This window comes from Homo sapiens, chromosome 3 (genome assembly GCF_000001405.40).
Source record: "Homo sapiens chromosome 3, GRCh38.p14 Primary Assembly".
In the NCBI taxonomy this organism is placed as follows: domain Eukaryota; kingdom Metazoa; phylum Chordata; class Mammalia; order Primates; family Hominidae; genus Homo; species Homo sapiens.
Window position 1 is genome coordinate 143,083,332 of NC_000003.12, and position 27,985 is coordinate 143,111,316.

Sequence of the window (27,985 nt, forward strand, 5' to 3'; positions counted from 1 at the left end):
AGCTGCCCATCCTTCCAGGGCACAGTGGATGCAAACCCCACAATACCCAGTGGCTTCTTTAGCACAGACATTGTTCTGTCTATATCAAGACCCCAGAACCATGTCCGTGCTAAAGAAGCCACTGGTTTTATTGTGGGGCTTTATCTTTTTTTTTTTTTTGAGACCCAGTCTTGCTCTGTCGCCCAGGCTGGAGTGCAGTGGCATGATCTTGGCTCACTGCAATCTCCGCCTCCCAGGTTCAAGTGATTCTCCTGCCTCAGCCTCCTGAGTAGCTGGGATTACAGGCACCCATCACCACGCCCAGCTAATTTTTTGTATTTGTAGTAGAGACGGGGTTTTACCATGTTGGTCAGGCTGGTCTCGAACTCCTGAACTCAAGTGATCTGCCCACCTTGGCCTCCCAAAGTGTTGGGATTACAAGCGTGAGCCACCGTGCCCGGCCTGTGGGGCTCTATCTTAATTCTGCCTTTAAGGACCTAATAAATCACTTTACCTCTAGTTCCTGAGCTATACAATTAGTGGGCTGTGTTATCCGAGCTCTGTGTCACTTATTTATGGCTGCTAACAAACCACCCCACATCTTAGTGGCTTAAAGCAACACTGGTTTATGATTTCACAATCCTGTGGGTTGACTGGGCTGTTGTTAGCGGGTCTCAACAGGTGGGACAGCCAGGGCTGGGCTCATCTGGGACACCTGGGACTCTCTCACCTGGGTCTTTCATCCTGGGCTTCTTCCTCTCATGGTGGCCACAGGTGTTCCGAGGGGATGAGGTTGGACACTACAAGGCCTGTGAAGGTGTAGGCTCTGAGGCTACATAACTTCACTTCCACTGCATTCTCTTGGTCAAAGCAGCAGACAAGGCTGCTCGGACACAAAGAGTGGAGAGGTGAGCTACACCCTTTGATAGCCATCGGAGTGGCTGTAAACCCTCGCCCTGCCCCATGGGGTTCCTGTGGGTGTTGATGAGGTGCCTTTCATGGAATCTTTTTTTTTTTTTTTTGAGACGGAGTCTCGCTCTGTCGCCCAGGCTGGAGTGCAGCAGCACGATCTCTGCTCACTGCAAGCTCCGCCTCCCAGGTTCTCACCCTTCTCCTGCCTCAGCCTCCCGAGTAGCTGGGACTACAGGCGCTCACCTCCATGCCCGGCTAATGTTTTTTGTATTTTTAGTAGAGACGGGGTTTCACTGTGTTAGCCAGGATGGTCTCGATCTCTTGGCCTTGTGATCCGCCCGCCTCGGCCTCCCAAAGTGCTGGAATTACAGGCGTGAGCCACCGCGCTCGGCCCATGGAATCTTTTTTTTTATCCCAGCTGACTGCCTAATGCTTAAGTGTCCGACCATGACTAGGGGTCCCACACACAGAAAACGTGTTTATCCTGGCAGACGCCTTCGTTGCTCTTGTCCCATCTGTGTCCAGTTCATTCCTACGAAGACAGCCACTCTCTAGGAGAGCCCCGACCAGGAAAGAAGTTAGTTTCAGGTGCATCCGACTGGGGGAGACACAGAGGAGGCCTCTCAACAAAACAGGTGAGTTAACAGAAGCAGAGCATTCCACAGCCCAGAGAAGAGGGAGGCGCGCCTCTCAGGACGGATAGGAAGTGGGGAGCCATCTGGGACATGGGAAGCCCACCGGCGGGCGGGGAGCGAAAGAGTGCGGGTGATCTGCGAGCCTGTGTCTTTTTTTGGGGTCCAGGGCATTACCCAGGTGGGAGTTCCAATTGGTGGGTTCAGAGTAGGCAGGCTCTGGACTCCCTGGTGGGTTCAGAGCAGGCAGGCTCTGGACGCCCTGGAGTCCTGCTGTGCCTGAGAGGAGGCCACTGGGGCGTATCTCCACAGTGCATGTGTTGTGTCTGGTCAGTGGAGCCAGTCAAGTAGGTTGTATCTAGCTGTCCCACGGGGAGGCTGTCACCAGGAGGGGGTTGTATGAGCCAGATATCTGAACTGACCATATTGAGGAAATGGGAGGAGGCAGAGAACTGGAAACTGTAGACGGTGACTAAGCCCTGCTTCTGGTATGGGAAATTGCTTAAAGCTATATTCAAAATGGACGCTGAAGCAACACAAAATTATAGAATTCACTACAAATAGCAAGACAACTCATTTCTTTTTTTGAGACAGGGTCTTGTTCTGTTGCCCAGGCTGGAGTGCAGCGACGTAATCACAGCTCACTGCAGCCTTGACCTCCTGGGCTCAAGCAATCCTCCTACCTCTGCCTCATGAGTAGCTGGGACCACAGGCATGTGCCACCACTCCTGGATAATTTTTATTTTATTTTATTTTTATTTTATTTTTCCTTTTTTTTTTTTATTGATCATTCTTGGGTGTTTCTCGCAGAGGGGGATTTGGCAGGGTCATAGGACAATAGTGGAGGGAAGGTCAGCAGATAAACAAGTGAACAAAGGTCTCTGGTTTTCCTAGGCAGAGGACCCTGCGGCCTTCCGCTGTGTTTGTGTCCCTGGGTACTTGAGATTAGGGAGTGGTGATGACTCTTAACGAGCATGCTGCCTTCAAGCATCTGTTTAACAAAGCACATCTTGCACCGCCCTTAATCCATTTAACCCTGAGTGGACACAGCACATGTTTCAGAGAGCACAGGGTTGGGGGTAAGGTCACAGATCAACAGGATCCCAAGGCAAAAGAATTTTTCTTAGTACAGAACAAAATGAAGTCTCCCATGTCTACTTCTTTCTACACAGACACGGCAACCATCCGATTTCTCAATCTTTTCCCCACCTTTCCCCCCCTTCTATTCCACAAAACCGCCATTGTCATCATGGCCCGTTCTCAATGAGCTGTTGGGTACACCTCCCAGACGGGGTGGTGGCCGGGTAGAGGGGCTCCTCACTTCCCAGTAGGGGCGGCCGGGCAGAGGCGCCGCTCACCTCCCGGACGGGGCGGCTGGCCGGGCAGGGGGCTGACCCCCCCCACCTCCCTCCCGGACGGGGCGGCTGGCCGGGCGGTGGGCTGACCCCCCCCACCTCCCTCCCTGACGGGGCGGCTGGCCGGGCAGAGGGGCTCCTCACTTCCCAGTAGGAGCGGCCGGGCAGAGGCGCCCCTCACCTCCCAGACGGGGCGGCTGGCTGGGCGGGGGGCTGACCCCCCCACCTCCCTCCCGGACGGGGCGGCTGGCCGGGCAGAGGGGCTCCTCACTTCCCAGTAGGAGCGGCCGGGCAGAGGGGCTCCTCACCTCCCAGACGGGGCGGCTGGCTGGGCGGGGGGCTGACCCCCCCACCTCCCTCCCGGACGGGGCGGCTGGCCGGGCAGAGGGGCTCCTCACTTCCCAGTAGGGGCGGCCGGGCAGAGGTGCCCCTCACCTCCTGGACGGGGCGGCTGGCCGGGCGGGGGGCTGGCGCCCCCACCTCCCTCCCGGACGGGGCAGCTGGCTGGGCAGGGGGCTGACCCCCCCACCTCCCTCCCGGACGGGGTGGCTGCGGGGCGGAGACGCTCCTCACTTCCCAGACGGGGTGGCTGCTGGGCGGAGGGGCTCCTCACTTCTCGGACGGGGCGGCTGCCGGGTGGAGGGGCTCCTCACTTCTCAGACGGGGCGGCTGCCGGGTGGAGGGGCTCCTCACTTCTCAGATGGGGCGGCCGGGCAGAGACGCTCCTCACCTCCCAGATGGGGCGGTGGAGCAGAGGCGCTCCCCACATCTCAGACGATGGGTGGCTGGGCAGAGACGCTCCTCACTTCCTAGATGGGATGGCGGCCGGGAAGAGGCGCTCCTCACTTCCTAGATGGGATGGCGGCCGGGCAGAGACGCTCCTCACTTTCCAGACTGGGCAGCCAGGCAGAGGGGCTCCTCACGTCCCAGACGATGGATGGCCAGGCAGAGACGCTCCTCACTTCCCAGACGGGGTGGCGGCCTGGCAGAGGCTGCACTCTCGGCACTTTGGGAGGCCAAGGCAGGCGGCTGGGAGGTGGAGGTTGTAGCGAGCCAAGATCACACCACTGCACTCCAGCCTGGGCACCATTGAGCACTGAGTGAACCAGACTCCGTCTGCAATCCCGGCACCTCGGGAGGCCGAGGCTGGCGGATCCCTCGCGGTTAGGAGCTGGAGACCAGCCCGGCCAACACAGCGAAACCCCGTCTCCACCAAAAAAATACGAAAACCAGTCAGGTGTGGCAGCGCGCGCCTGCAATCGCAGGCACTCAGCAGGCTGAGGCAGGAGAATCAGGCAGGGAGGTTGCAGTGAGCCGAGATGGCAGCAGTACAGTCCAGCCTTGGCTGGGCATCAGAGGGAGACCGTGGAAAGAGAGGGAGAGGGAGACCGTGGGGAGAGGGAGAGGGAGAGGGGGAGGGGGAGGGAAACTTCCTCTTTCTTCCCACTCTATTTCATAAATCCATGTCTACACACATGCAGGATCCCCAGTCAGTGTCATCCGTGGAGTTAGCCCTCCCTGATTTCTTCCTGGATAATTTTTAAAAAGCTTTTTGTAGAGAGAGTCTCTCTGTGTTGCCCAGGCTGGTCTCAAACTCCTGGTCTCAAGCAATCCTCCTGCCTCAGCCTCCCAAAGTATTGGGATTACAGGTGTGAGCCACTGCACCTGGCCAAGACAACTCATTTTTTTCCTGCTCCATGAAGATGCCAGGGTTATAGTAGAGATACCAGGAGAGACACAGTTTCCAACGATTTCATCAAAAGAAACATGAAAAGGGCCTTGGGGACATTTAGTGTTGTTAAGATCCTAGAAGCCACAGGGGTTTAGAATTTCCTTAGGGCTTCTCTCTGCTCTCCAGTCTCTCATTCAATCCCAATCATCATCATCATTAATGATAATCAATATTATCATCATCACTGAGCACCTGAAGAGCTTACCACTCAGAAAAGAGAAAGAGGATTAAGCACTGCACATGTTTTTCCTTAGTAGTGGCATGAACTATCGGGGGCAACAGTCATTCTTTTGGAGACTTATGCCTGTAGTCGAACTGTGCTAATTGTGTATATATTTTAGAGTTCTCACACAGCTACTCTTTTTTTTTCTCTTAAGAAAAAAAAAAAGAAATATCTGAGACTTTATTTTGATCTTTCACATCCATCTGAAGAAGGTTCTTTAAAGATAAGTGGGTTTTGTAATCTGGTGAAGGCCATGAATCTATTCAATTCAGTGAGTTCCTATCAACTGCATCTGAAAAGCACTGGTGAAGACCACAGTACTTAAAACCCATTTTTTTAATTTTAAAAAATTCCATAAGAAACATGTACTTATGGTAAAATGATAAGTTTCAAACATATAAAAACATGAAAAATGGAAATTAAAAATCTCTGCTCTCAACTATTATAGCAGGGCCTCCAGAGGCAGCCACTGATCATAGATTTTGTCCTGAATTTTTCTGGTGCTTGCTGTCCTAAATCGAGGTAACATGCTTGTACCTCTACTTCATGATTTATCAACTTTAAGTGGAACCCTTTTACTTTTCTCTATCAAGAAAGATGTTAGCTCACTTCATACTACTGCTCTGTTGCCTGTTATTTTGCCTAATTCTTCTGGGGACTGTCAGCCAGGGGAATTCCTGTAGATTACCAACCCACTCTTCCTTTCATCTCTTCTGTCTCTCTTTTTGACCTCTTCTCCCCTCCTCAGTTTATAGTTGGTATATTTACAATGCCATGGTTTACCACAACTGCATTCTGTTTATGTAATTATAACTAAGGCAGTCATCTTGTCTTTAGGTTAATTCTAAAAGCTGAAAACCTGTTAACAGTATTTGCAATGATGTCATTATGTAGGTATTGGCCACTGTGGACCCAACTATGATTTGAGCCTTGTAGTAGAGATGTAATCCTTTTTTTAAAAAATTTTTTTGCTTGTTAAAGAGAAATTTTTCAAGCATGACAGCCTAATGCATTTTCCCTTAAATTCTCCCGGTTTCCTTCACTTCTATGAGATCATATTCAATGGCCACTCTTTGATTTACGTAATATATAATATATTTTATTTCATTTAATTTTGCTTGCTTAGTTCTTTCATATGGAGGATGTAGGTGATAAATCCTTTGGTACTCGTTTGCTTGGAAATGTCTCTATTTTACTCTAATATTTGCCAGGGCATAAAATTTTAGGTAGAAAATGACTTTTCATTGGACGATTAAATACATCACGTGATTGTCTTCCAGAGCCCAGTGCTGCTTTAAAAAAGCCGGATTTTTGTTCCAGTTTGATAATCTGATTTTTTTTTTTTCTGGAAGCTTTTAAGATTTTCTTTTTATCCTTGGAGTCAGGAAATGTTAACAGGATGTATCTAGATGAGGGTATTTTTTTTGTTTGTTTAAATCTTGTTTGGAACTTGATGAACCCTTTCAATCTGAAAACTCTTATCTTTCTTCACATGAAAGTTCAGTGGCAACTTCTTTTATTTATTTATTTATTTATTTTTTTGAGACACAGTTTCGCTCTTGTTTCCAGGCTGGAGTACAATGGCACGATCTCAGCTCACCGCAACCTCTGCCTCCCGGGTTGAAGCGATTCTCCTGCCTCAGCCTCCGGAGTTGCTGGGATTACAGGCATGTGCCACCACTCCCGGCTAATTTTGTATTTTTAGTAGAGATGGTGTTTCTCCACATTGGTTAGGCTGGTCTCAAACTCCCAACCTCAGGTGATCTGCCCGCCTTGGCCTCCCAAAGTGCTGGGATTACAGGCATGAGCCACCGCGCCCGGCTGCAACTTCTTTTATTATTATTTTGATTATTTCTTCTCTTCAGGTATAATTGTAAACTTTTACTAGAATTACTATTAGATAGATGTAAAACTTTCTGAATATATTTTCCATGACCCTAATTTTCTGCCATATGTTTTCTTTATTTTTCTTAGAGACTGGGGTCTTGCTATGTTGCCCAGGCTGTACTCGAACTCCTGGACTCAAGCAATTTTCTCACCTCAGCTTCTGGAGTGGCTGGGACAATAGCTACATACCACCATGCTTGACATATTTTTTCTCTCTTTCTCCCTTCCCCTCTCCCTTCCCTCTTTCTTTCTCTTTTCCATCCCCTCCCCTCCCTTCCCCTCCCCTTTCCTTCTCTATATTTGGGAGACTTTAACTCTGGCTTTAAAATGAACAACTGGGTCTTCAGTCTTTTCCATTATTCCCTTTTTAAAAAATTACTTTCGTGGTCCTATTTTCAAATTGCTATGCTCTCTTTTCTTTTTTCTGATTGATCATTTTCCACACACCTAGTAGCTTACATGAGTTTGCCTTTTGGATGTGGAGGTCTGAGTTTTCCTGAAATTGGAGGCTTGTGCTTTTGTGTGAGCGGATGGGGCATGTGGAAGGCCAGCCTTCTGGTATATTGACAAGCCAGGCAGGTGGCCAGGAGCCCCGCTTGCCAGCAGCAAGCCTCACTCCACTGTGGAGATCTTCAGTGTTGCCAGCTGCCGTCTGCTTGTCACAAATGCCTTCTCTGCATTCCGATGATTTGCTCCAGAGCAGTCCTGAGTACCTGGCAGAGCAAATCTCCACCCTACACTTCACTCTGCTGTCTGGCACTGCCTTTTTCTCTTCTCCTTTAACCTGGGTCTCACCATTTTTGGGGAGTCCTCAGAGTTTCACGTCTGCTGTTGCTGCTGCCTCTCCTCATGGCTGGGAAAAGGGATAAGTTCACAGGCATCCTTGGTCCTCCATCAGGAGCCAGAAGCCTGGAAAGTTTTTATCTTGTGTTGTTCAAAATTCTGCTATAAAATCCCCCCTCATGAAACACTTTCCCACAAAGAGCCTATCAAGTTTATCTGTGTGCTGTATCTCTAGGTAGCGAATACGCCTTGGCGTCTAGATGCCCAATTAGCGGGAAGAAGATGCAACTCCTGCACATTCTTTGGTTAATTAGATCTGCTATGAAATCATTCATTTGATGACCATCCTAATGAATCTAATAAAAGCCTCTTCTGAAGCCGTCTATTCTTTGTACCTTAAGTACTGTACCTTGCTCAGCTACGCTGGCACCAGAGCTAACAGACTCATTATCTTCCAAAGTCTGATGTCTGTTTTCAGGCTCCGCTGGTTTCATTAGATACAAAATAAAATCACTACCTATTAAAATTGCATTAAAGCACTAACTTAAACTGACAAAAGCTTAGAAACATTGAGCCTGAGCTGTTGTTTGGCCTTCTGGATGTGGGAAATTCCTGCCTTTTGCAGACTGAGTGGATCAGGCCAGCCCAGACTTTATGGCCTAAATTTTCTGTGTCCCTCGGCTTAAATGGGAGCTAGCAGTGCCAGCTGCCAAAGAAATGACTTGGGTTCTCATCAAGCAGTGATTCAACTATGTTTTAATGGTTCAGTGATTATTCTCTGATTTTCAGAATCAAATGAGGTGAATGAAAAGGTGGGAAGACAGACAGTTTTTACATGGCCACTGTAGCTTCTTCAGAAAAGATCACAAAAGGAGAAATTGATGGTTTGGGGCTACCGATAAACAGGCTGGTAGAGTGGTTATACTTCTAGCATCACATGGAATCAATGTTACTTTCTGCACAGATTTAAAAAACAAAAAACTTGTGTGGTGGTTCACACCTGTAGTCCCAGCACTTTGGGAGATTGAGGCAGGAGGATCGCTTGAGGCCAGGAGTTCAAGACCAGTGTGGGCAACAGAGTGAGACCTCATTTCTACAAAAAATTTAAAAAATTACTCAGGTTTGGTGGTGCACACCTGTGGTCCCAGCTATTCAGGAGGCTAAGGTGGGAGGATCGCTTGAGCCCAGGAGTTTGAGGCTACAGTGAAGCATGATTGCACCACCACACCCCAGCCTGGGTGACAGAGTGAGACCCTACCCCCACCAAAAATAATAAAAAACAAAAAACAAACAAATGAACAGAACAATTTTGGTTCTTGTAAAAAAAAATAGGAAGAGAAGGTTAAGTGTCCATAGTTTTCCAAAACGAGTATGTAACCCCACTGTATGCAGGGGCATGAGGCACAGTGGGTGTCTAGGGCATGCTTTGGAAGTATGCAGCTGGCAGCTGCAGAGGGAGAAAGGCATTGGCTAAGAAGAGAACTGTGTTCCTGGCCCAGATCTTATGACCTTCAGCTAGTCATTCTATGGACTTTAGGTTCCTTATCTGTAAAATGGGCCTGTTGCACTATATGATTACTCTTATCAGCCAACTCAGAGGAGTGTGTGTGTGTGTGTGTGTGTGTGCATGCATGGTCATGCCTGTGTGAGTGTGTGTATGTTTGTGGTTTTTAAAAGCTTACCTCCAAACAAAATTGCCCCTTCTCAAACTGGGTGCCACTGTTCTAAGCCATTCTTCCTGATGCAAGCTAGTAAATGTTCCCTTCAGATCTCACATTAGGAATTTTGTTTTGATTACCTTAAAGACTCTTTGTAGCTCTGGCAGCCTCTCAATCTGTGCTTAGGAGGATGAAATGGTCTGTGCTCACAGGCTTTGGAAGATAGAAAACTGCCTCTCTTCCTCCCTTCTCCCCACGCTTCCTCATCCCCTAATCTCCACTGGAATCTATCAGCTGAATTCTGAGTTTGTGTCCCCAAGGCAGGAATCTGGGAGGTGACAGGACACTGTCCCTCACAGCAGCTTTCTGTGAGCCATAGCATTCTAGAGAAGTCATGCAGTTGAAGAATATAATTCAAAAATAGATAAACTGATAGCAAAGCCACTGGTTATTGACCACTCGTTGTGTGTCAGGCACTGTGCTAATTCCTTACATATACATTTCTTAAACCCTTATGATAACCTAGTAAACATAATGATCCCATATTATAGATGAGAACACAGACTCCGACAGGCTAAGTAATTTTCCCAAGGCCTCAGAACTCCTAAGTGGCTGAGCCAGGATTGAAGGCAGAGCTCCTTGCCATCTGGCCAAAGAGGCATTGTGGAGCAGACTGTTTTTCAAAATATAGGTTATAATCCATTAATACTCCATGAAAATAATTCTGGGCTTAAGAATAGCATTAAAAATAGAGTAGAATGGAAAATATCAGAGTGCATCTTACGTAATATGTAAATATTATTTTGTGAAATTTTGTGTGTGTATGTACAGTGTTGTGACATAAAATCAACTTCTTACTGTGGGTGGTCATTAACATTTTCTTTTATAATAGAGTTTGCGAAACTCCAGTCAGGAGAAGTTAATTAATGAGATGGAATGAAAAGGGCAAGGTGTGGGGTGTTTGGGTATTTCCCCTGCAGAAATTGACCTTTTTTTTTTTTTTTTTTTTTTAGTTTTGTAGTTTTGTCATTTCAAATACCCTCTTTACATCTTTCAGTCTCTTTTCCTTATGGTTCCTTCTTGTTCTGAAATTCTATGACCCTTTGAGAAGCACAGGCAATTAATTTGTGTTTTGGCAGGGTAGAGAATGACAGAGTCACTGGGCACTGGGAAGCTTTACAGGGTACTTTTCCCTGAGCGGAGAGGAGGAGGCTGGTTTCTCTGGGCAGAGGGAGATAATACTCTATGTTTTGCTCCTTTTAGTCAACACTGTAATAGCAAAATTTATTCATGTATTTGTTTATACTCTAGTTCAGGGGTTCCCAGCCTCTGGGCTGCAAACTGGTACTGGTCTGAGGCCTGTTAGGAACTGGGCTGGACAGCAGGAGGTGAGCAGTGGGCGAGCAAGCAGCACTGCCTGAGCTCTGCCTCCTGTCAGGTCAGCGGCAGCATTAGATTCTCATAGGAGCGCCAACCCTATTGTGAGCTGTGCATTCGAGGGATCTGAGATGGGACAGTTTCATCTTGAAACCAACCTTGTCCTCATCTGTGGAAAAATTGTCTTCCATGAAACCAGTCCCTGGTGCCAAAAAGGTTGGAGATTGCTGCTCTAGTTCATTCTTTTCCATTTTATATTCCATCATTTGACTATATAATTATAAATCATTTGTATTTGTTTTTGCTCTTTGGGTTTTATAAACAGTGTAGTTTTGAAGGTTCTGGCCTAAGCATTCTGGTGTGCATGTCCACAGATTCTCTAATGAATATGCCCAGTAAATAAGGAATAGTGAATGACCCAGAATTGCTGGGTTTTAGGGTATCAAAATGCTCACGTTTGCTAGGAAATGCCAAAACCATTTTTTCCAAAGTAGCAACAATTTATGATTTTCACCAGCAGTGTATAAGAATTCTTATTCTCACTAACAGTTGGCACTGCCAGATTTTTTACATTTTTGGCGGTGGTGTGTAGTAGCTCTTTGTGGTTTTTGTTTTTATTTTTACTTTTTGGGGGATGAAGTTTCGCTCTTATTGCTCAGGCTGGAGTACAATGGTGTGATCTCGGCTCACTGCAAGCTCTGCCTCCTGGGTTCAAGCAATTCTCCTGCCTCAGCCTCCTGAGTAGCTGGGATTATAGGTATCTGCCACCACACCCAGCTAATTTTTGTAGTTTTAGTAGAGATGGGGTTTCACCATGTTGGCCAGGCTGGTCTCAACTCCTGAACTCAGGTGATCCACTCACCTTGGCCTCCCAAAGTGCTGGGATTACAGACGTGAGCCACTGCATCTGGTCCTCTTTTTTGTTGTTTTTAATTGTACCTCCCTGATTACTAATATGATGGAGAAACTTCATGTCTATTGGCAATTTCATCTTCTTCCTTTGTGAAGAGCTTATTCAAACCTTTTACATATTTTCCTATTAGGTTACCTGCCTTTTTCTTATTGATCTATGGAATTCTTTGTGTAATGTGGATAGAAGTCCATTGTTACTTACATGTATTGCAGCATCTTCTCTCATTTCATGGTTTATCTTTCCACTAGTTTTTTTTTTTTTTTAGAGATGGAGTCTCACTATATTGGCCAGGCTGGTCTTGAACTCTGTCCTACTTAGGCTGTCTCTGTCCTACCCTTTGGCAGTGCCCACTTTGCCACAACTTAGGGTCCACATATATGATGGCAGCAGCAGCCCATTTGGAGCAGTTGCTGCAAAGATGCTGGCTGCAGCAGTGGAGGCACAGCCAGGGCTGCACGCTTAGCAGAGCCAACGGGAGCCCTGCCCCCTTTCAAGTTGGTGGGGCAGGAGCTCTGCATTCCTGGGTGCAACTGTAGCCACCCAGCTGTGGCTGCAGACTCAGGCATCCCTGTGCTCTCAGGGGCCTGGGAAGACCCCTGGTGCTTCTGCAGGCTTGGAAGTACCTGTTCCCACTGCCTGGCCTCTCCCCGCTCCTGGCACCTGCTCCAGTTTCGGAGCAAAGTTGTGGCCAAGCCTGGGTGCGGTCATGACCTGGCTGGGTGTTCAGGTGCTTGGGGTGGCACTGACATGCCAGCCTCCTGCTACCTCGGCCCCTTCTGGACTTTGGGTGTTGACGATCATGGAAGGGAGGCTGAAGTGGGGCTAAGGGCAGCCTGGCATGAGCCTGCAGGTGCCCCTCAGCATGAACGGCCTGGGTGCTCTGAATGGTGGCCAGAAGCAGAAAGGCTCCTGGGTGGAAAGGGGCAGGTCCCCAGTGAAACCCCACCTTCAAGCCAGGGATGACCTGAAGTCTGGGGGCCAGGCTGCCAGTTCCGTGGACTGGAATGAGAACTTAACGGTGTTTTTTCTGGGCCTGCCCATGGCCACCCATGGACCAATCAGCACATACTTCCTCACCTCTGAAGCCTGTAACAACCCTGGACTCAGCCAGGCTACAGCAGATAACAGGACAACCTGCCTGTAGAGAAGAGCTACCCACTGTGGGTCTCCTTTCCACTGAGGGCTGCACAGACAACAGGATTACCTGTCTGTGCATAGGAGCTACCTATTCTGGGTCTCCCCTCTTCTGAGGGCTGCAGAGCTATTGGGATGTCCTGCCTGCAGATAGGAGCTACCCACTTTGATTCTCTTGAGAGCTGTACTGTTGCTCAATAAAGCACCTCTTCGCCTTGCTCACCCTCCAGTTTTCTGTGTATCTCATTCTTCATGGACAAGGGACAAGAGCTTGGGACCCACCAAATGGCGGGCCTGAAAGAGCTATAACACAAACAGGGATGAAACACACCCCCCTACTTGCCATATTGCGGGCAACGAGAAAAAGAGAAAATAGGAGAGAAGTGCTGCAGCCCTTTGGGGAACCCAGACCTAGGAGCTCCCCAAGCTAGGGGTGTGACACCCTCTTTGGGGCTCTGTGGTTCCTGGTGTCTCCAAGCTTCTGGGCACCACCACGTTACCCGGTGCCCACAGTGGAAGCTGCTTGCAGTATACCTGGTCCAGCTGTAGCCCTGCAGGGAGCCGGTACCCATGCCAGTTCCTGGAGCTGCCCACCCCACCACAGCTGGCATGCTAGGCTGTGTGCAGTAGCCAGACTGCATACTTGCTCACTCACACACCCATTGCTGCTCTGTGCCTGGCTTGCCCTTGACAGGTGTGGGCTCTGGGCTGGTAGTGCAAGCTGAGCACAGCCCACCAGGCCAAGTGGGTAGAATGAGCCCAGTAGGCCCAAGGAAAACTCAGATAAAGGCGCCACTGGCCACAGAGGTTTCCTGCTGGCAAAGTGACACCCCAAGGATCCTGAGACATATACATGAGACTGTGATAGAGCTGCCTGGTCTATTCTAGTCCATGGTCAATTTTTTTGTTTCTGCACTAATGTCATATTTTCTTAATTATGAGAGCTTTATACCAAGTCTTGATATCTAAAAATTAAGTTCTCCTACTTTTTTTCTTTTGAGGTTCTCTTGGCTTTTCTTGGCCCTTCATGTTATATATCCGTTAACTTTCATAGTCAATGGTATGTTGATCTAAATAGGCAAGTTTTTCATTAGTGGAAGCAGAACATTCGTAGTAAAAAACTTTTAAAGATTTTGATTGTCATAACAAATGGCCCTCTGGCATAGGTGATACCAATGTGTACTCCATAAGGAGATTGTAATAATATTTGAAATGGAAAATGACTATATCAGACTATATGTGTGTTTTGTGATTTAATTTGGGGAAAAATATCTATTTCATGCCTCTAGTATTTCTCAAAAAACATGTTGAATATGAGTCTTATTAGGTTTTGCTTGTTTGGTGAGTAAAAATGCCAAGCCTCATGAGAAGCAGAATGTATTTTCTCTTTTATTGTAACTGCATGTACAATACCTGCTATGGACTGAATCGTGTCCCCTCCAAATTCATATGTTGAAGTGCTAACCTCCAATGTGGTAGTATTTGGAGATAGGGCCTCTGGGAGGTAATTAGGGTTAGCTAAGATCATGAGGGTGGGCCCCCATGATGGAATTAATGGCTTTATAAGGAGGGAGGGAGAAAGAGATAGATCGATCGATCGACTGATAGAGACCGATCGATTGATCAACCAAGAGAGATCTCTTTACCACCTGAGGACAGAGAAGGTGGCTGCCTACAAGCTGCAAAAAGGGCTCTTACCAGGAACTGAATCAGTGAGCAGCTTGATCTTGGACTTCACAGCCTTCAGAACTGTGAGAAATAAGTGCCTGTTGTTGAAGCCACCTAGCTCATGGTATTTTGTTAGAGCAGCTCAAGCAGACTAATAATATAGTACCCATGTGACTCTGAATTTAGAAAATAATTGATTATAAGTTATTCTGAAAAGAAGGTCTATATACACTTAAAAGCAAAGCAAAGTAAGAGTTTTTAAAAGTCTTAAAAGCAAACTGTATGCATATGTAGTTTACATAAGCATTTCAAAAGAATTCTCAGTTTTGGGTGCATAGGGATTGCTATCATATTTTGCAATGCTCATGAGCCAGGAATGGAAATATTTAACATTAAGTTAATAAGAAAATAACATGAAAAAGTTGTTTAGTGAGCTGGAGTCAGAGCTCCAGGTTGAGTGAAACTGCTTTAGGTTTCATAGCTGTAAACACAGACCTTCAGGTACAGAGAAGCTAGTGACTGCAGGATTAATATTAGACATACAACCCTAAACCAAAACCCAAACTTAAAAGCCAACTAGTAGCTCCAATAAACAGTGTGGTTCATGACCTAGTGTAAACCAAAAGGATGATTTGGCATGCAAGATGGGAAGTGTAATAAACAAACAAAAAATCCACTTCAGCCTCCGTAAATGACCAAACTGACCGCAATGAAATCACATACAAATCAGGTGCTGTCTACTTGAATTGTGTAATTGGAACACAGCACATGGGAGAAAGAAATCATAGGGTAGAATTTGTGTTGTGCTAGGGGGACACTGAACTGAACCAGTAGAGGTTAATGGAGCAATTAAATTGAGAAAAGGTACAAAATCAATTTTACAGCCAGGATGTTTGTACATTCCTTCATTCATTCCCTCAACAAATATTTGTTCAGAGCACTCCATATGCAAAGCACTCATGCTAAGTCCTGAAGTGGTTTTAAAGATGTACATGACGGTACTAGAAAATGTTCACATTGATTTGTTATGCAGCAGTACGTCTACCTTTGAATCACAATAGCTCCCATAATGCACTACCCTTGTCTTTGAGAAACTTTAAATATCTGGGGCCGAGTTTCTTAAAGACTAGGAACCCTACTACTTACTCATGAGGTAATTTTTAGGAGAATGAGAAATGATTTTCAATTTTAGTTTGGGGCATTCTGTCTTTAATGCTTTCTAAAACTAATCTCCCCCTCCTTTAAAAAAATAAGGAATATGTCTAAGCCTTTTATAGGCCATAATCAAACTATTATGTTACAACTTTTTTGTTTTATTTTTTGGTTACTTTTCATTTCTAGAACATGATAATGGTTTCAACTCACTGTGGTGGTATATAATTTTTATTTAAAATAAACATAAATTAGGTCTTGAACAGTGAGTCAGATGAAAGAAAATATTAAACAATAGGACAAGTGGAATCTGCTTATGGTGAAAGAGAATAAAAGTAGTAGAGCGATGAATGAGGTTTAGGAACCCATACAAAAGGAAATAAGACAAGCACATGCATCTCTATAATATCAGCTAACTCAGCGGTTCAGACATGAGCTCCGGAAGGAGTTCTGGGCATTAGCTTTTGCTTTTTCCTGTAGTAATTCTGTAAGTCTCCCTGGATGAGGCTTTCTTTGGATAGAGATTGGCATGGGACCAGTGGACTTTCCAAATCGGGGAAAAGACCATGAAAGGCTGAGTCAAGGTGTGTGCTGCTGCCACGGACGGTGATTCCTCAACTTAAGTGTGCACCAGAATCAGCTGGAGGGTGTTTCCAACAGGCTGTCAGTACCCAACCTTGGACATAGTGATTTATGGGAGGACAGGGAGTGTTTAAATTTCACTTTAAGAAGGTCTTTGGACCACTTGAAAGAGACTGTGACTCTGGAGAATAAACACAGAACTCAAGGGCAGAAAGAAGCTCCTGATTGTGGACTCAGCATTCCTTTTGCTGTCATTGGCTTGCAGTACCATTGGACTAGGTCAGTTTATGTATCTCAGTTGTTTATGTATGTTATTTGGCATGTTTATGTATCTCTAATGTTGCCCATGAGGCTTACCTGCTTATTTGCTGCCAATCAGGTGGCATTTCTGTGGGAGAAATGGGGAGGAGAATGATTGGATGTGGGAGGATAGAGAGAAGATCTTCTTTTCTTAGTTTTCTGTTCTCTGAGCAGTGTTTAGGCATTCAGTAGTCCTTGGGAGACACTGAAATAAAGTTGCTAAAATTCTGCTGGACCTAGTTATTTATGGGCAAAATTAGTACCACATGTTCAGTCTTCTTAAAATTTCCATCCTTCTCTCGTGGGAGATATAAGGACTAGTATCTGCAAGTTGCTTTGAAAGTAAACCATGCAAGCTGATGACATTATCCGCCTTCCTTTGACAGCAAGAATCAGTGATGTGGGAGGTCTTGTAGGTAAATCAAGACTTTGAATCAGGAGGAACCATGGGATTAGACTAAATGTGAGCCCAAATAAACACAGTGCATATTCAGCACTTTGCCATAAATAACCAGATGGATAATATTCTATTGGGGGATTGCAGTGTGGGTTATTTAAAAGGATGTAAAAGATTGCTGACACAGGCTGGGACCAGGGGAAAGCTGTGGGTACATCTGCAACTATTGAGCACATATTTCTAAGGGTTTCCAGCACTACATAAGTAAACGATTGCCTTCTTGAGTGAAATGGGAGCTTCATAAGGGCCGTAAACACCAAACTGATGGCCATGATGGCTGGCCAAATCCAGCTGTTTAAGAAACAATGCCATTCAGCCAAAACATACCAACTGCCACCACCTCTCTTAGGTTCCTCTCCAACACAGCACTCTATGCAGAAGGGCCACATTTGAGAAACGGATACCCAAGAGCCGTGACCTGGTGACACCAGCAAAAATGCTCCAAATATGTAAAGATGTTGTGGCTTCCACATTATTGTGGACAGAGCTAAACAAGCCAGAGATCCAAAAGCTTCCAAAGCAGTGCCATGCATGTTAACTGAGAAGAATTAATTTTCACCAGTAGGAGAGCGCTTCCTTCTGTCATCAGTGACTACTGTTCCTGCTTCGTTGGTGCTGCCATTCTGCCAAGCACAACACCACATGTCATGATGTCGTACATCAAATTTGCATTCTTCGGGCACAGAGTCCAGGCAGTGGCAATGGCTATACATTTGCATGGCTCACTATGATGAGTATACAATGATGAACTACAATGACAGGTCAAAATCACACCAGTCTCCTTGTTCTAGGCAGATGAGATACTGGGGATAAAAGAAACAAAATATCCATCATTAAAATAATGATGGGAAAAAAATCTGGGTGAACCCAGGTGCTTGTCATAAAAATCAAAACAGTATCTCGCTACAATAAATTCCTAATTTCTTATGCTGCATAAAAATTTCATTAAGCCAATTAGATCCTGAAATAAATGACAAATGGAACACTGGCTGGAGGTTAAGAAAACAACATTTTCATAGAAAGGCTAGGGGTTTAGGTTATTTGTTGAATTGGAATTTGACCTGTGGCATTACAATGCAGATTGTCTCCAAAAACTGTAAGTGGGGCATGGATTTGCAGAAGAGACTTTTCTGCATAATAAGTTGTGTCCTAACAATAAAATTGTGCATAAAAATTGACAGCTAACAAGGCAAAGCAAAGAAACAGTGCACGAAATCAACAAAACATTTTGTGCTCTAGAAATGGATGTGGCAGAAACTGTACTTGAGCTGAAAAGTTGTTCCTTTGAAGTAAGTAGAACTACATGTAATGTTGTGACTGAGAAAAGAGAAACCTATAGAAGGACGAAGATATATCGTCTGAAAACTAATGAGATGTTACATTTTGAACCAAAATCGCATCTAACTTTTCAGCATGTAATTAGGCAAGATCTGAGCCAAAGTATAAAGAGTTGACATAAAATTTTGGGAATACGGCTGGGTGCGGTGACTCACGCCTGTAATCCCAGCACTTTGGGAGGCTGAGGCGGGCAAATCACCTGAGGTCAGGAGTTGAAGACCAGTCTGGCCAACATGGTGAAACCCCGTCTCTACTAAAAATACAAAAATGAGTTGGGCGTGGTGGCGCGTACCTCTAGTCCCAGGTACTTGGGAGGCTGAGGCAGGAGAATCGCTTGAACCTGGGAGGCGGAGGTTGCAGTGAGCCAGGATCCCACCACTGCAGTCCAGCCTGGGTGACAGAGCAAGACTCTGTCTCCAAGAAAACAAACAAACAAGAAACTTTGGGAATTCACAATTCAGCAACTGCGATAGAAGATGAAAGGGGGAAAGAGACTAATAATAGAACTGAGAAGACGCGGAATGAAACCAACTAGATTGAGAGCTACTTTCTTTATTCAGTGTTTTCCCCTGTTGGGTTTTTAATCCTGTGATGCCAAATGATATCTGTATGAAATTGTACATTCCACTTCACTCACCAGTACACCATAGAAATTACACACATAAGCACAGAGATCACCTGTGGAAAATTCCATGTCTCTGCATAAGAGTTTATAAGTTACACGGATAAGAGATAACATTGCCTAGAATAGAATTTGCTTCTGTGTGTGGCAATGTACACTGTGAGACTCACGACGTGCCCAGGGCGCTTGTCTTTCTTCATAGAGAACCAGTGTCACAATGTGTTGCTACTGTAATGAAGTGTGGCTATAATTTCTTTTTCTTTCTGGCTAATGCAAGCAAAGCAGCTATTTCTGCTGCTTTTGGTACATGTGGAGGTTTAAGGTGGTGGGCTAATTTTGGGGAATTTTTAAGCATTATTTTACTTATTTTTACAGGCCCTCATACAGTTGTACAGGTTATATCTGGCAACAAATCACCAGTGTTGCAGTGAATGCCACTGAAATCCATCCTGCATCTGCCCTCTGGCTGTGTACCCTGGTGAGGAGCTGCATAGGAGAGAGGAGGGAGACACATCTCTCTCTCTTTTAAAGTATTATGAAGTAATTTATTATTTTATATTATTATAATGTCATTATTGTTATTATTATTTAGATTGAATTTCACTCTGTTGCCCAGGCTGGAGTGCAATGGTGTGATCTTGGCTCACTGCAACCTCCGCCTCCCAGGTCCAAGCGATTCTTCCACCTCAGCCCCCTCAGTAGCTGCGACTATAGGCGCCTGCCATCACACCTGGCTAATTTTTTGTATTTTTGGTAGAGACAGGGTTTCACCATGTTGGCCAGGCTGGTCTCAAACTCTTGACCTCAAGTGATCCACCTGACTTGGCATCCCAAAGTGTTGAGATTACAGGTGTGGGCCACCGTGCCCGGTCCATTCTTTTTTAATTTCAAGTTTTATTTTAGATTCAGGGGGTACATGTAGGTTTGTTACATGGGTACGGTACATTGTGTGATGCTGAGCTTTGGGGTATGAATGATCCCATCACCTAGGTAGTGAGCATAGTAACCAACAGGTAGTTTTTCAACCCTTTTCTCCCTCTTTCTCTCCCCTCATAGTAGTCCCTAGTATCTACTGTTGCCATCTTTATGTCTATATGTGCCCAGTATTTAGCTTCCACTTGTGAGAGCATCAGTATTTGGTTTTCTGTTCTTACATTAATTCACTTAAGATAATCACTTCCAGCTGCTTCCATATTGCTGGAAAAGACATGATTGTGTATTTTTATGGCTGTGTAGTGTTCCATGGTGTACATGCACCACATTTTCTTTAACCAATCCACTGTTGATAGGTTCCTAGGTTGATTCCTTATCTTTGCTTAGTGCTTTGATGAAACATATGAGTGCATGTGTCTTTTTGGTAGAATGGTTTATTTTCCTTAGGATATATACCAAGTAATAGGATTGCTGGGTCAAATGGTAGTTCTGTTTTAAGTTGCTCGAGAAAGCTCCAAACTGCTTTCCAGAGTGGCTGAACTAATTTACACTCCCACTGAGAGTAGCAGGAGGCAGCCAAATGCCTAGGCAGAGAGGGTTGGGTCTCTGGTGAAACCCCACCTCCAAGCCAAAGGCATTTTAAAGCCTGAAAGCCAAGCTACAGGTTAAATCCTTGGACCAGACTGAGAACTTGTCTTCTTATTTGGCGTACTTTCTTCTAGTTGATCTTCACCCTTAACCTATTTTACATATACCTACCCTTTCCTAATTGGTGTTCTACACAATCATGCCCACCTTTGAGTGGTGCCTTCACTTTAACCATTCTTTTTGCATACTCAAAACCAATCAGCACATACTTCCCACTCTGAGTCCATAAAAAGCCCCGGACCCAGCCACACTGGGGACTTTCCTGCCTTTGTGTAGGGTGCCCACCCCCACATCCTCTCTCTGCTGAAAGCTGTTTCATCACTTAATAAAATTCTCTGCTGCTGGCATTTTGGGAGGCTGAGGTGGGCAGATCATGAGGTCAGGAGTTAAAGACCAGCCTGGCCAACATGGTGAAACCCCATCTCTACTAAAAAAAAATACAAAAAATTAGCTGGGCATCATGGCAGTTGCCTGTAATCCCAGCTACTTGGGAGGCTGAGGCAGGAGAAACGCTTGAACCCGGGAGGCAGAGGTTGCAGTGAACCGAGATTGTGCCACTGCATTCCAGCCTCAGCAACAGTGCGAGACTCTATCTCAAAAAAAAAAAAATAAATAAATAAAATTCTCTGCCCTCCTCACCCTTCAATGTCGAGCATATTCTCATTCTTCTTGGGTGTGGTACAAGAGTTTGGGAATCACTGAACATGGGTACAAGCTATAACACAGGTGAGCTGAGGCATGCCAGAGTGGCCAAACAGGGCCCAGATGGGAGGTCCCTGGCTTGCAAAGTGACCAAGAAGAAAAATCCTACATTATTTTGGGGGCTTGTCTGGGATACCTGAAGAGCAAATAAATGTAGACCTAGACTCTTCACTTTTTTCTGAGGATTCTTGTCCTCAGACTTTTTTTCTGAAGGCAGATGAAGTGCTGAACCTCTGGTGAGACCATTAAGAATGAATGGCCTGGCTACAGAGGACAGGGTGCTGGAGAGGTCCCCAACGCCCCAGCCAATTGCTCTCGGGGTTTGGGAATGTTGGCCTCGTTCCAATCCAGCAGTCTTTTCTATGTTATTTTTCTTCTTTTCTGGGGGCTGTCATGGTGCCTATTTCTTCTTTTATAATGTTAAGGGTGTTGCATATTGCAGAGATATTACTAGGTAGAATGAGCATTTGGCCTAGCCATCAGATATGCAATTCAGAACAATGTGATTTCTGCCTGGCAAGGAGGGTACAGTGATCCAAGGGTTTTTCCCCTGCTGAAGGAACCCATTTTCATAGATCAAGAGGCTTTTTTCCCCAGGCACCTTCCCCCGTGCACTTAAGCTTTTTTTTTTTTTCTTTTCTCCACCATGTCAGGAGTTCACATAGCCCTGCAAATACAGGGAGCTTTTCTGTGTGAGAGGTTTTTTTCCTTTTGAAAGGTGTCTTACTAGGCCAGGACCCAATTCATGGTACTCCCTAACTTAATGAGTCTATGCATCCTCCTGAGACACCTTTTTGTCCCAAACTCAATTCCAAGCTTCAGGTTGAAGCCCTAGAAAGAAAAGCTAGATCTGAGGGATCCAGAGGCAGACAACAACAGAAGTCAAGGGGAACAGCACAGGTGAGCATGACTAATTCCTGCTGATTAGGTGCCCCCTCCTCCATTTCGTGGATAGAGGTCATGCTAGTATCCATGGCATAAATGAGATCTGGGAAACTCAAAGGTTACCGACAGCATGGGGTATAGGTAGTGCGTGGGTGAGTGTGGATAATTCCTACCACCTGGGTCTCCTGTTAACACGGGTGAAAGCTGCATTGGCACCCATGGGTGGCACCCTGCTGAGATCACCAGGACTCGGGATATAAGGATGGAAGAAAGAAGGGGAATGTCTTTTCTTTCTGACCCTCACATACCCTGGTATTTGCTGGGAAGAGAAAGGAACTAAGGGACAGTCTTCCCCCCCCTTTTCAAATGGGTAAGCAATCATCTTCAGTCTGTATTTCTCTCAAATGCCCCCTGAATCACTGGGACTCCTTTGCAAAAAAGAACTTTTATTTTTTTTCCTTTTCTTCCTCTGTCCTCTCTTTGTGGATAGGTAATCGTGTCCCTGTACCACAGGACACTCCCCTCAGATGCATTCCCCAAACAGGGAAAAGCTAATTTCCCCAAACCTTAAACTGCTTGGCTTAAAATTGAACTTGGGGGAAGGGAACCCAGAAACCTGACATGCCGGCAAAGGGTAAAGTTTTTTTTAACCAGTCGTACTTCTGACCTTTCTCTCCCTGTGCAAACTGGTAAAGGAATGGTAAAGATCACTGTAAAATTTTGAAAAAAAAAACTAGATGAGGTCTCATCTTGTTTTATATCCTTGGGAGCTTGACCTTGTAACAATGTGGCAGTACTTTCTTTTGGTCTCTGCCATTTTACAATGGGAATGAGTACTTTCTAGTTAATATCTCCCCTCGAAGAACAGCTTCTAACTTCCTTTCTTAAATCTTCCTTTCTCTGAGCTACCTTTAAAGATTTCAGATTTTGTGAAAACTGCTTACCACCTATTTGAAAATACCTTGTATGCTCGTAGTTAAGTCATAACCTTAGTTGAGGCTTGTTGGTTTCACCTGTGAGGTTACTTTTGGTAAAGTTCAAAAGCCAGAAATATTGGCCACTTGGCTAAAGTCGGGTAACAAAGGATTTAAAAGTATTTTCTTAAAGAATGTTATGGTTAAAAGCCAGCTTAACTAAAAGTAGATATCCAAGCTATAGGTATATTTAAAAGATCTTCTTTTTTTTCTCTTATTGGATCTTGTGTTGCTGGAAGATGTTTTGTCTCCTCAGTTGACTGAATTATTTTTCTCCATTTTGTCTTGCCACTCAATGCACACATAAGAGGCCCTAAGGGAACTTCTGAGAGCATGGGACTCCTTGGGAAAAACAGAGAAGGTGCCACGGACTCTGTTTAGGAAAAAAGACCTCCTTTTTCCTCATGAAACCCCAGGAATTAAAAGCAGATATATCCCTCTCAAAATCTGTTTTTGTCATCCAGCTATGCCTGTTTCTTATGCCCTAGAAACTGCATGTTTTCCTAGCCCTGTTTGTTTAAGGGCTCCACCCTGAAGCCAGTAATCCAATTAGTAGATTGGTAAATGAAAAATCCTACAACTACTGGATCTTCTTCTGTCTGCCTGTGTAATTATATATGTGTTATATGTGTGATGTTTATAAAAAAGAGCTCTAACTGATTGGCCTAAAGAAAAATAAGCGCTTAGATCAATTTTTTTTGAAGAAACAAAAGCTGTAATGCCTTTTAGTTCATGTGACTTTCATATTTGAGAAATAAAAACAGCTTTAAAGATAATTGGTAAAATACAAATGTCTTCAAAATGTAAATATATGGTGTAGATTATGCAGGTCAGACACTAGGTTTGCTAAATGTTTTAAGGTTATAAACTGCTTCTTTGGCTTTTGAAAATTTGTTCAACTTGCCTGCTTTACAGTTTGGTAAGGCCTGGGGACATATGGCATTAACTATGCCCCTAACTATGCTGGGAAGTGTCAGACCTTAGCTGCACCTAGCACATAATTAAAATAACTTACCAGGTTTTACATTAAAATTAAAAATTGGTAAGTGTTACCATTATAACATTTAATTGAGACTACTCAAAATAGATTTACATGCAAGGTGTGTAAGAAAAGTAAAACATGTTTTTAGTAAAAATTACAAGAAGGCATGAAAATGTAAATTTTTGTGTAGTTTAAAGGGTTAAAAGATTGTTTTAAATTAAATAAGATAAAGCTAAAGGCTTAACCAAGTTGTGGAAGGTTTGTAAAAATTAATCTTGTAAGAGAAACTCTGTGCATGAACATATTGACTAGATTCAAAAGGATATTATATGGTTTTTCCATAAATTGAGCATTGAAATAAAAGCACAAGATTTTCTTAAGGCACTAATCTGCTCTTTAACAAAAACTTATAAAGGGTTATAAAAGGTCTATAAGAATCTCACCTCATGACCAAACTAGTTAAGATTGGATAGAATTATTTATAAGGTTTCATTAAAAAATTGTGGTTGACATTAATAGCAGACTAATGCGAGGGCGAAATTAGATTTTCTCTCTTTTGAACAAGATTTTCATGTAATAGTAAAGGATAATGAAAGGTTTTTGCCTTTTAAAAAATTCTTGAGTCATCATTTTGGCTAAATGACTTGTGGTAACCTGGAATTTTATTTCAAACTATCAAGTGTTTTGAACATTTAGCATGTTTGATAGGCCTCCCAAAATCAAATTTCAGCTTCAAAATTGTCTTTTCTAAATCCTTACTTTTGGATGCTACAGAGGGCCCCTGGAGCATCCGAAAGAGAGGTAAACAGGATTATTTGACGTGTTTATTTATTTGGGATTGCCAAAATAAGGTTTAACCTTCAGGTTATATTTCAGTGAATAATATTAATATATGTCCCAAAATTGTATAGGATTTCTAAAATTCTAATATCTGAGTATATGTTATCAATCATGATTAAGGTTATATTATTGCAAACCACAGAAATAAGCAAATTCCTTTGTCAATCATATTTTTGACTGTGACTACCCAAAGACATTTTGTCATTCACAGACAATTGTTGCTTTGTTTTGATCCTCTTCAAACTATGGTTTATAATCAGCTATAGGACTTTGACAGCTGATCTCAAATGCAGGTTTCTGATAGCTTTGGATATTGTAACACTGGAATAGAGGAAAACATACAGGACTCATGAAGAGCTGAAATGTTCATGAATATCAAGCCAACAAGAGTAACTGAATGGACTGAACTAACATAAAACTGAAGTAATCTTTTTAAACTTTTTTGCTTAAAACACTGCTGATCTTTGTTTTGTTTTTCAGAGCCAAGGAAACTTTTCTTTTGAGCTATCTACAGCTTTTAACAATTGAGTAAGGTATACTCCTGTGAACAAAATTTGAGGCATATTTGTTTCTCTCTGCCTGGTTTCTCTAGAATTTGGAAACTGAATATTCTTAACTTATGGCAACATAGCTATTTGCATCAGTGCAATCAACAAGAATCCATTTTGTTTTGCAGCAGGATGCAGCTGGAGAAACTGGTTGTTTTACCAAGGCTTGGACTGGAAAGGGCATGCTTCCCTTAAAAAAATCAAGCTTGACTTGCAGAGCCAATAAAAGCCTGTTGGGAAAACCGGCCTCATACCTTGTCTACCTAGTCCCTATACAGGGTTCCTAACCTGTGGTGAGTAAAGAATGTCACTTCCTAACAGGCCCAGGAGCCCCATGTCATCTTGGGACCTCAAGAAGAGAGGAATTTAGGCTGGGTGCGGTGGCTCATGCCTGTAATCTCAGCACTTTGGGAGGCCGAGGTGGGTGGATCACTTGAGGCCAGGAGTTTGAGACCAGCCTGGCCCAAATGGTGATGTCCCATCTCTACTAAAAATACAAAAAAATTAGCTGGGCATGGTGGCACTTGCCTGTAGTCCCAGCTACTCGGGAGACTGAGGCAGGAGAATCGCTTGAACCCGGGAGGCGGAGAGTGCAGTGAGCCAAGATTGTACCACTACACTCCAGCCTGGGCAACAGAGTGAGACTCCATCTCAAAAAAAAAAAGAGGAATTTACCCAACTCATAGGTATTTGAGGGTACAAACCCATGGCTGGGCTCAGCTTTAAAAGGTATTATCTGAGATTCCTGAACAGAGTTCCATCAAAGCCATTTTTTTTTTTTTTTGAGACAGAGTCTTACTCTGTCGCCCAAGCTGGAGTGCAGTGGTGTGATCTTGGCTCACTGCAACCTCCGCCTCCCGGGTTCAAGTGATTTTCCTGCCTCAGCCTCCCAAGTAGCTGGGATTACAGGTGCCCACCACCATGCCTAGCTAAATTTTTTGTATTATTAGTAGAGACGGGGTTTCACCATTTTGATCAGGCTGGTCTTGAACTCCTGACCTCAGGTGATCCACCTGCCTCGGCATCCCAAAGTGCTGGGATTACAGGCGTGAGCCACTGTGCCCGGCCCCATCAAAGCCAATTTTAAAAGCCTATGTGAAAAATAATTATTCTTGCTGCACTTGATGCAAATAATCAGGCCAAGTATAAGACTAAAGCTTATTTTGCGAACAATTCAGTCCTATCATTTTTTTTTAACTAAAATGATGACTGGAGAGAGAAAAATTATTTTTTAAAAGTTATCATATACTTGTTATTAAATTCTAGTCTTATTAGTTAAATTTTTGCCTACCTTTTAGACTAACTCTGCTTATTCCTGTGAACCAACCAGTGATCTCCGGCTGCAGCTCAGAAGAAACAGAAGGGATGGGTAATGTAAAAATCTGGATCAGCATTCTAGTTCTGGGCAATTACCCTGCAAATCCTGTCAGGTGATAGGTGTAAATAGGGTGTGGTACAAGAGCTCAGGAATGGCCCAACGCGGGCACAAGCTATAACACAGGTGAGCTGGGGCATGCTAGCGTGTCCAAGTGGGGCCTGGGAGGGGTATTGCTGGCTGGAGGTCCCTGGCTTGCAAAGTGACTGAGAAGAAAAAATCCTACATCACTGCCAATAAGCGTTCCCTTTTCTCTGAAGCCTTGCCAGCATCTGTTATTTTTTGCCTTTTTAATATAGCCATTCTGGACCTGTCTCTCTAATTTTCACAAGTGCACTGCATGGGCTAGCAGCTGCTCAGAAGAAGGCTTTACTATGCACCTGATAACCTCATGCAACAGAAAAGGCAGGGGGGCTCAGTTCACCCACCTGCACAACACTGAGTTATTTATTGTGGAGGTTTACTCAACATTAAATACTATAGTGGCTGCTACCATGCTTCCCAAACTTGAATGTGGACCAATCACTCAGAGGTCTTGTTAAAATGCAGATTCTGACACAGGAGGTGTAGGCCCTGAGATTCCGCAGTTCTAGCAAGCTCTCAGGTGACTCCAATTCAGCCGATCCACTGACCACACTTTGGATAGCAAGGCCAAGTGGATGTCAAGACCAATGAAAGTCACAGGTGAACTGGCTGCGAAGGGCCTCTTCCTCTCCGCTGATCACTGAAATCTCCTCTCCATCTTTCTTCCCTTACAAACCTCAAGCAGAACCCTCCCTGCCCCGCAAAAGGACCTCACCAAAACAAGTCCCCAATGTCCTTATCAAGAAAGGGGTAAAGAAAGTGATACAGCATCCTGTTTGTAGATCCTGAATTCTTCTTTTAACCGGCTTTATCTCCTCCCCAGGAAAAAGAGGCTCTTAGCCCTGGGCTTTCACTGGGGGTTGGGGCAGAATTATTATTTCCTAACCAGTCAGTGCCGTGCCATGACATGGGCTTTATTTCTGAGCTCTCTCCAGGTTTTCCTAGCCATTCTATGAGACAGCTATTAGCTCTGTATTATAGATGGGGAAAACTGAGGCCTGAAGAAATTTCATATCTTTTCCAAGAACATAGACCCAGAAAGTAAACCTGTAAGGAATTCAATCTAGGGTTGATTCCAAATTCTGTACCGGAGCTGATCTGGTTTCTAAATTTCAAGGAACTTAATTTTTTTCTGCCAATAAAGAGGTTTTCCAATTGGCAACCTTTTAAATCAGATTCTGCAGTACCTGATGTAGAAGTGACATTGAAGGCATGGGGGTATTACAGTAGACATTGCTTTATTTGTTTAAACAGAATTCTATTACTGAAGAGCCATATGAATGTCTCTTGGAGTTTCTACTAATGTGACA

The 27,985-nt window shown here is 44.5% G+C and overlaps 1 long non-coding RNA gene across 3 annotated transcripts, besides 2 other annotated features; it reads left to right on the plus strand.

Annotated features, from left to right (window-relative positions):
* The first annotated feature begins 380 nt into the window (after nucleotides 1-380).
* Nucleotides 381-27,760, plus strand: LOC105374138 (uncharacterized). Of its 3 annotated transcripts, none has more exons than XR_001740939.2 (4): nucleotides 381-887; nucleotides 1,347-1,526; nucleotides 25,345-25,509; nucleotides 26,515-27,760. It is a non-coding gene; the product is annotated as an uncharacterized LOC105374138 (long non-coding RNA). The 3 variants fall into 3 exon arrangements; XR_924555.3 differs by having other exon boundaries at nucleotides 1,383-1,526; XR_924556.3 differs by lacking the exons at nucleotides 25,345-25,509; nucleotides 26,515-27,760 and adding an exon at nucleotides 7,739-7,880 and having other exon boundaries at nucleotides 1,383-1,526.
* Nucleotides 1,511-2,159: a transcriptional cis regulatory region, noted in NCBI's record as "candidate enhancer chr3.4297 targeted for multiplex CRISPR interference". NCBI's record gives its function as "positively regulates CHST2 gene expression with high confidence in K562 cells {active_cell/tissue: K562}" and the evidence as "EXISTENCE:mutant phenotype evidence [ECO:0000015][PMID:30612741]".
* Nucleotides 1,943-2,082: an enhancer, noted in NCBI's record as "active region_20648". NCBI's record gives its function as "activates an Ori minimal core promoter by ATAC-STARR-seq in GM12878 lymphoblastoid cells {active_cell/tissue: GM12878}" and the evidence as "EXISTENCE:reporter gene assay evidence [ECO:0000049][PMID:35858748]".
* Nucleotides 27,761-27,985: the final 225 nt, after the last annotated feature.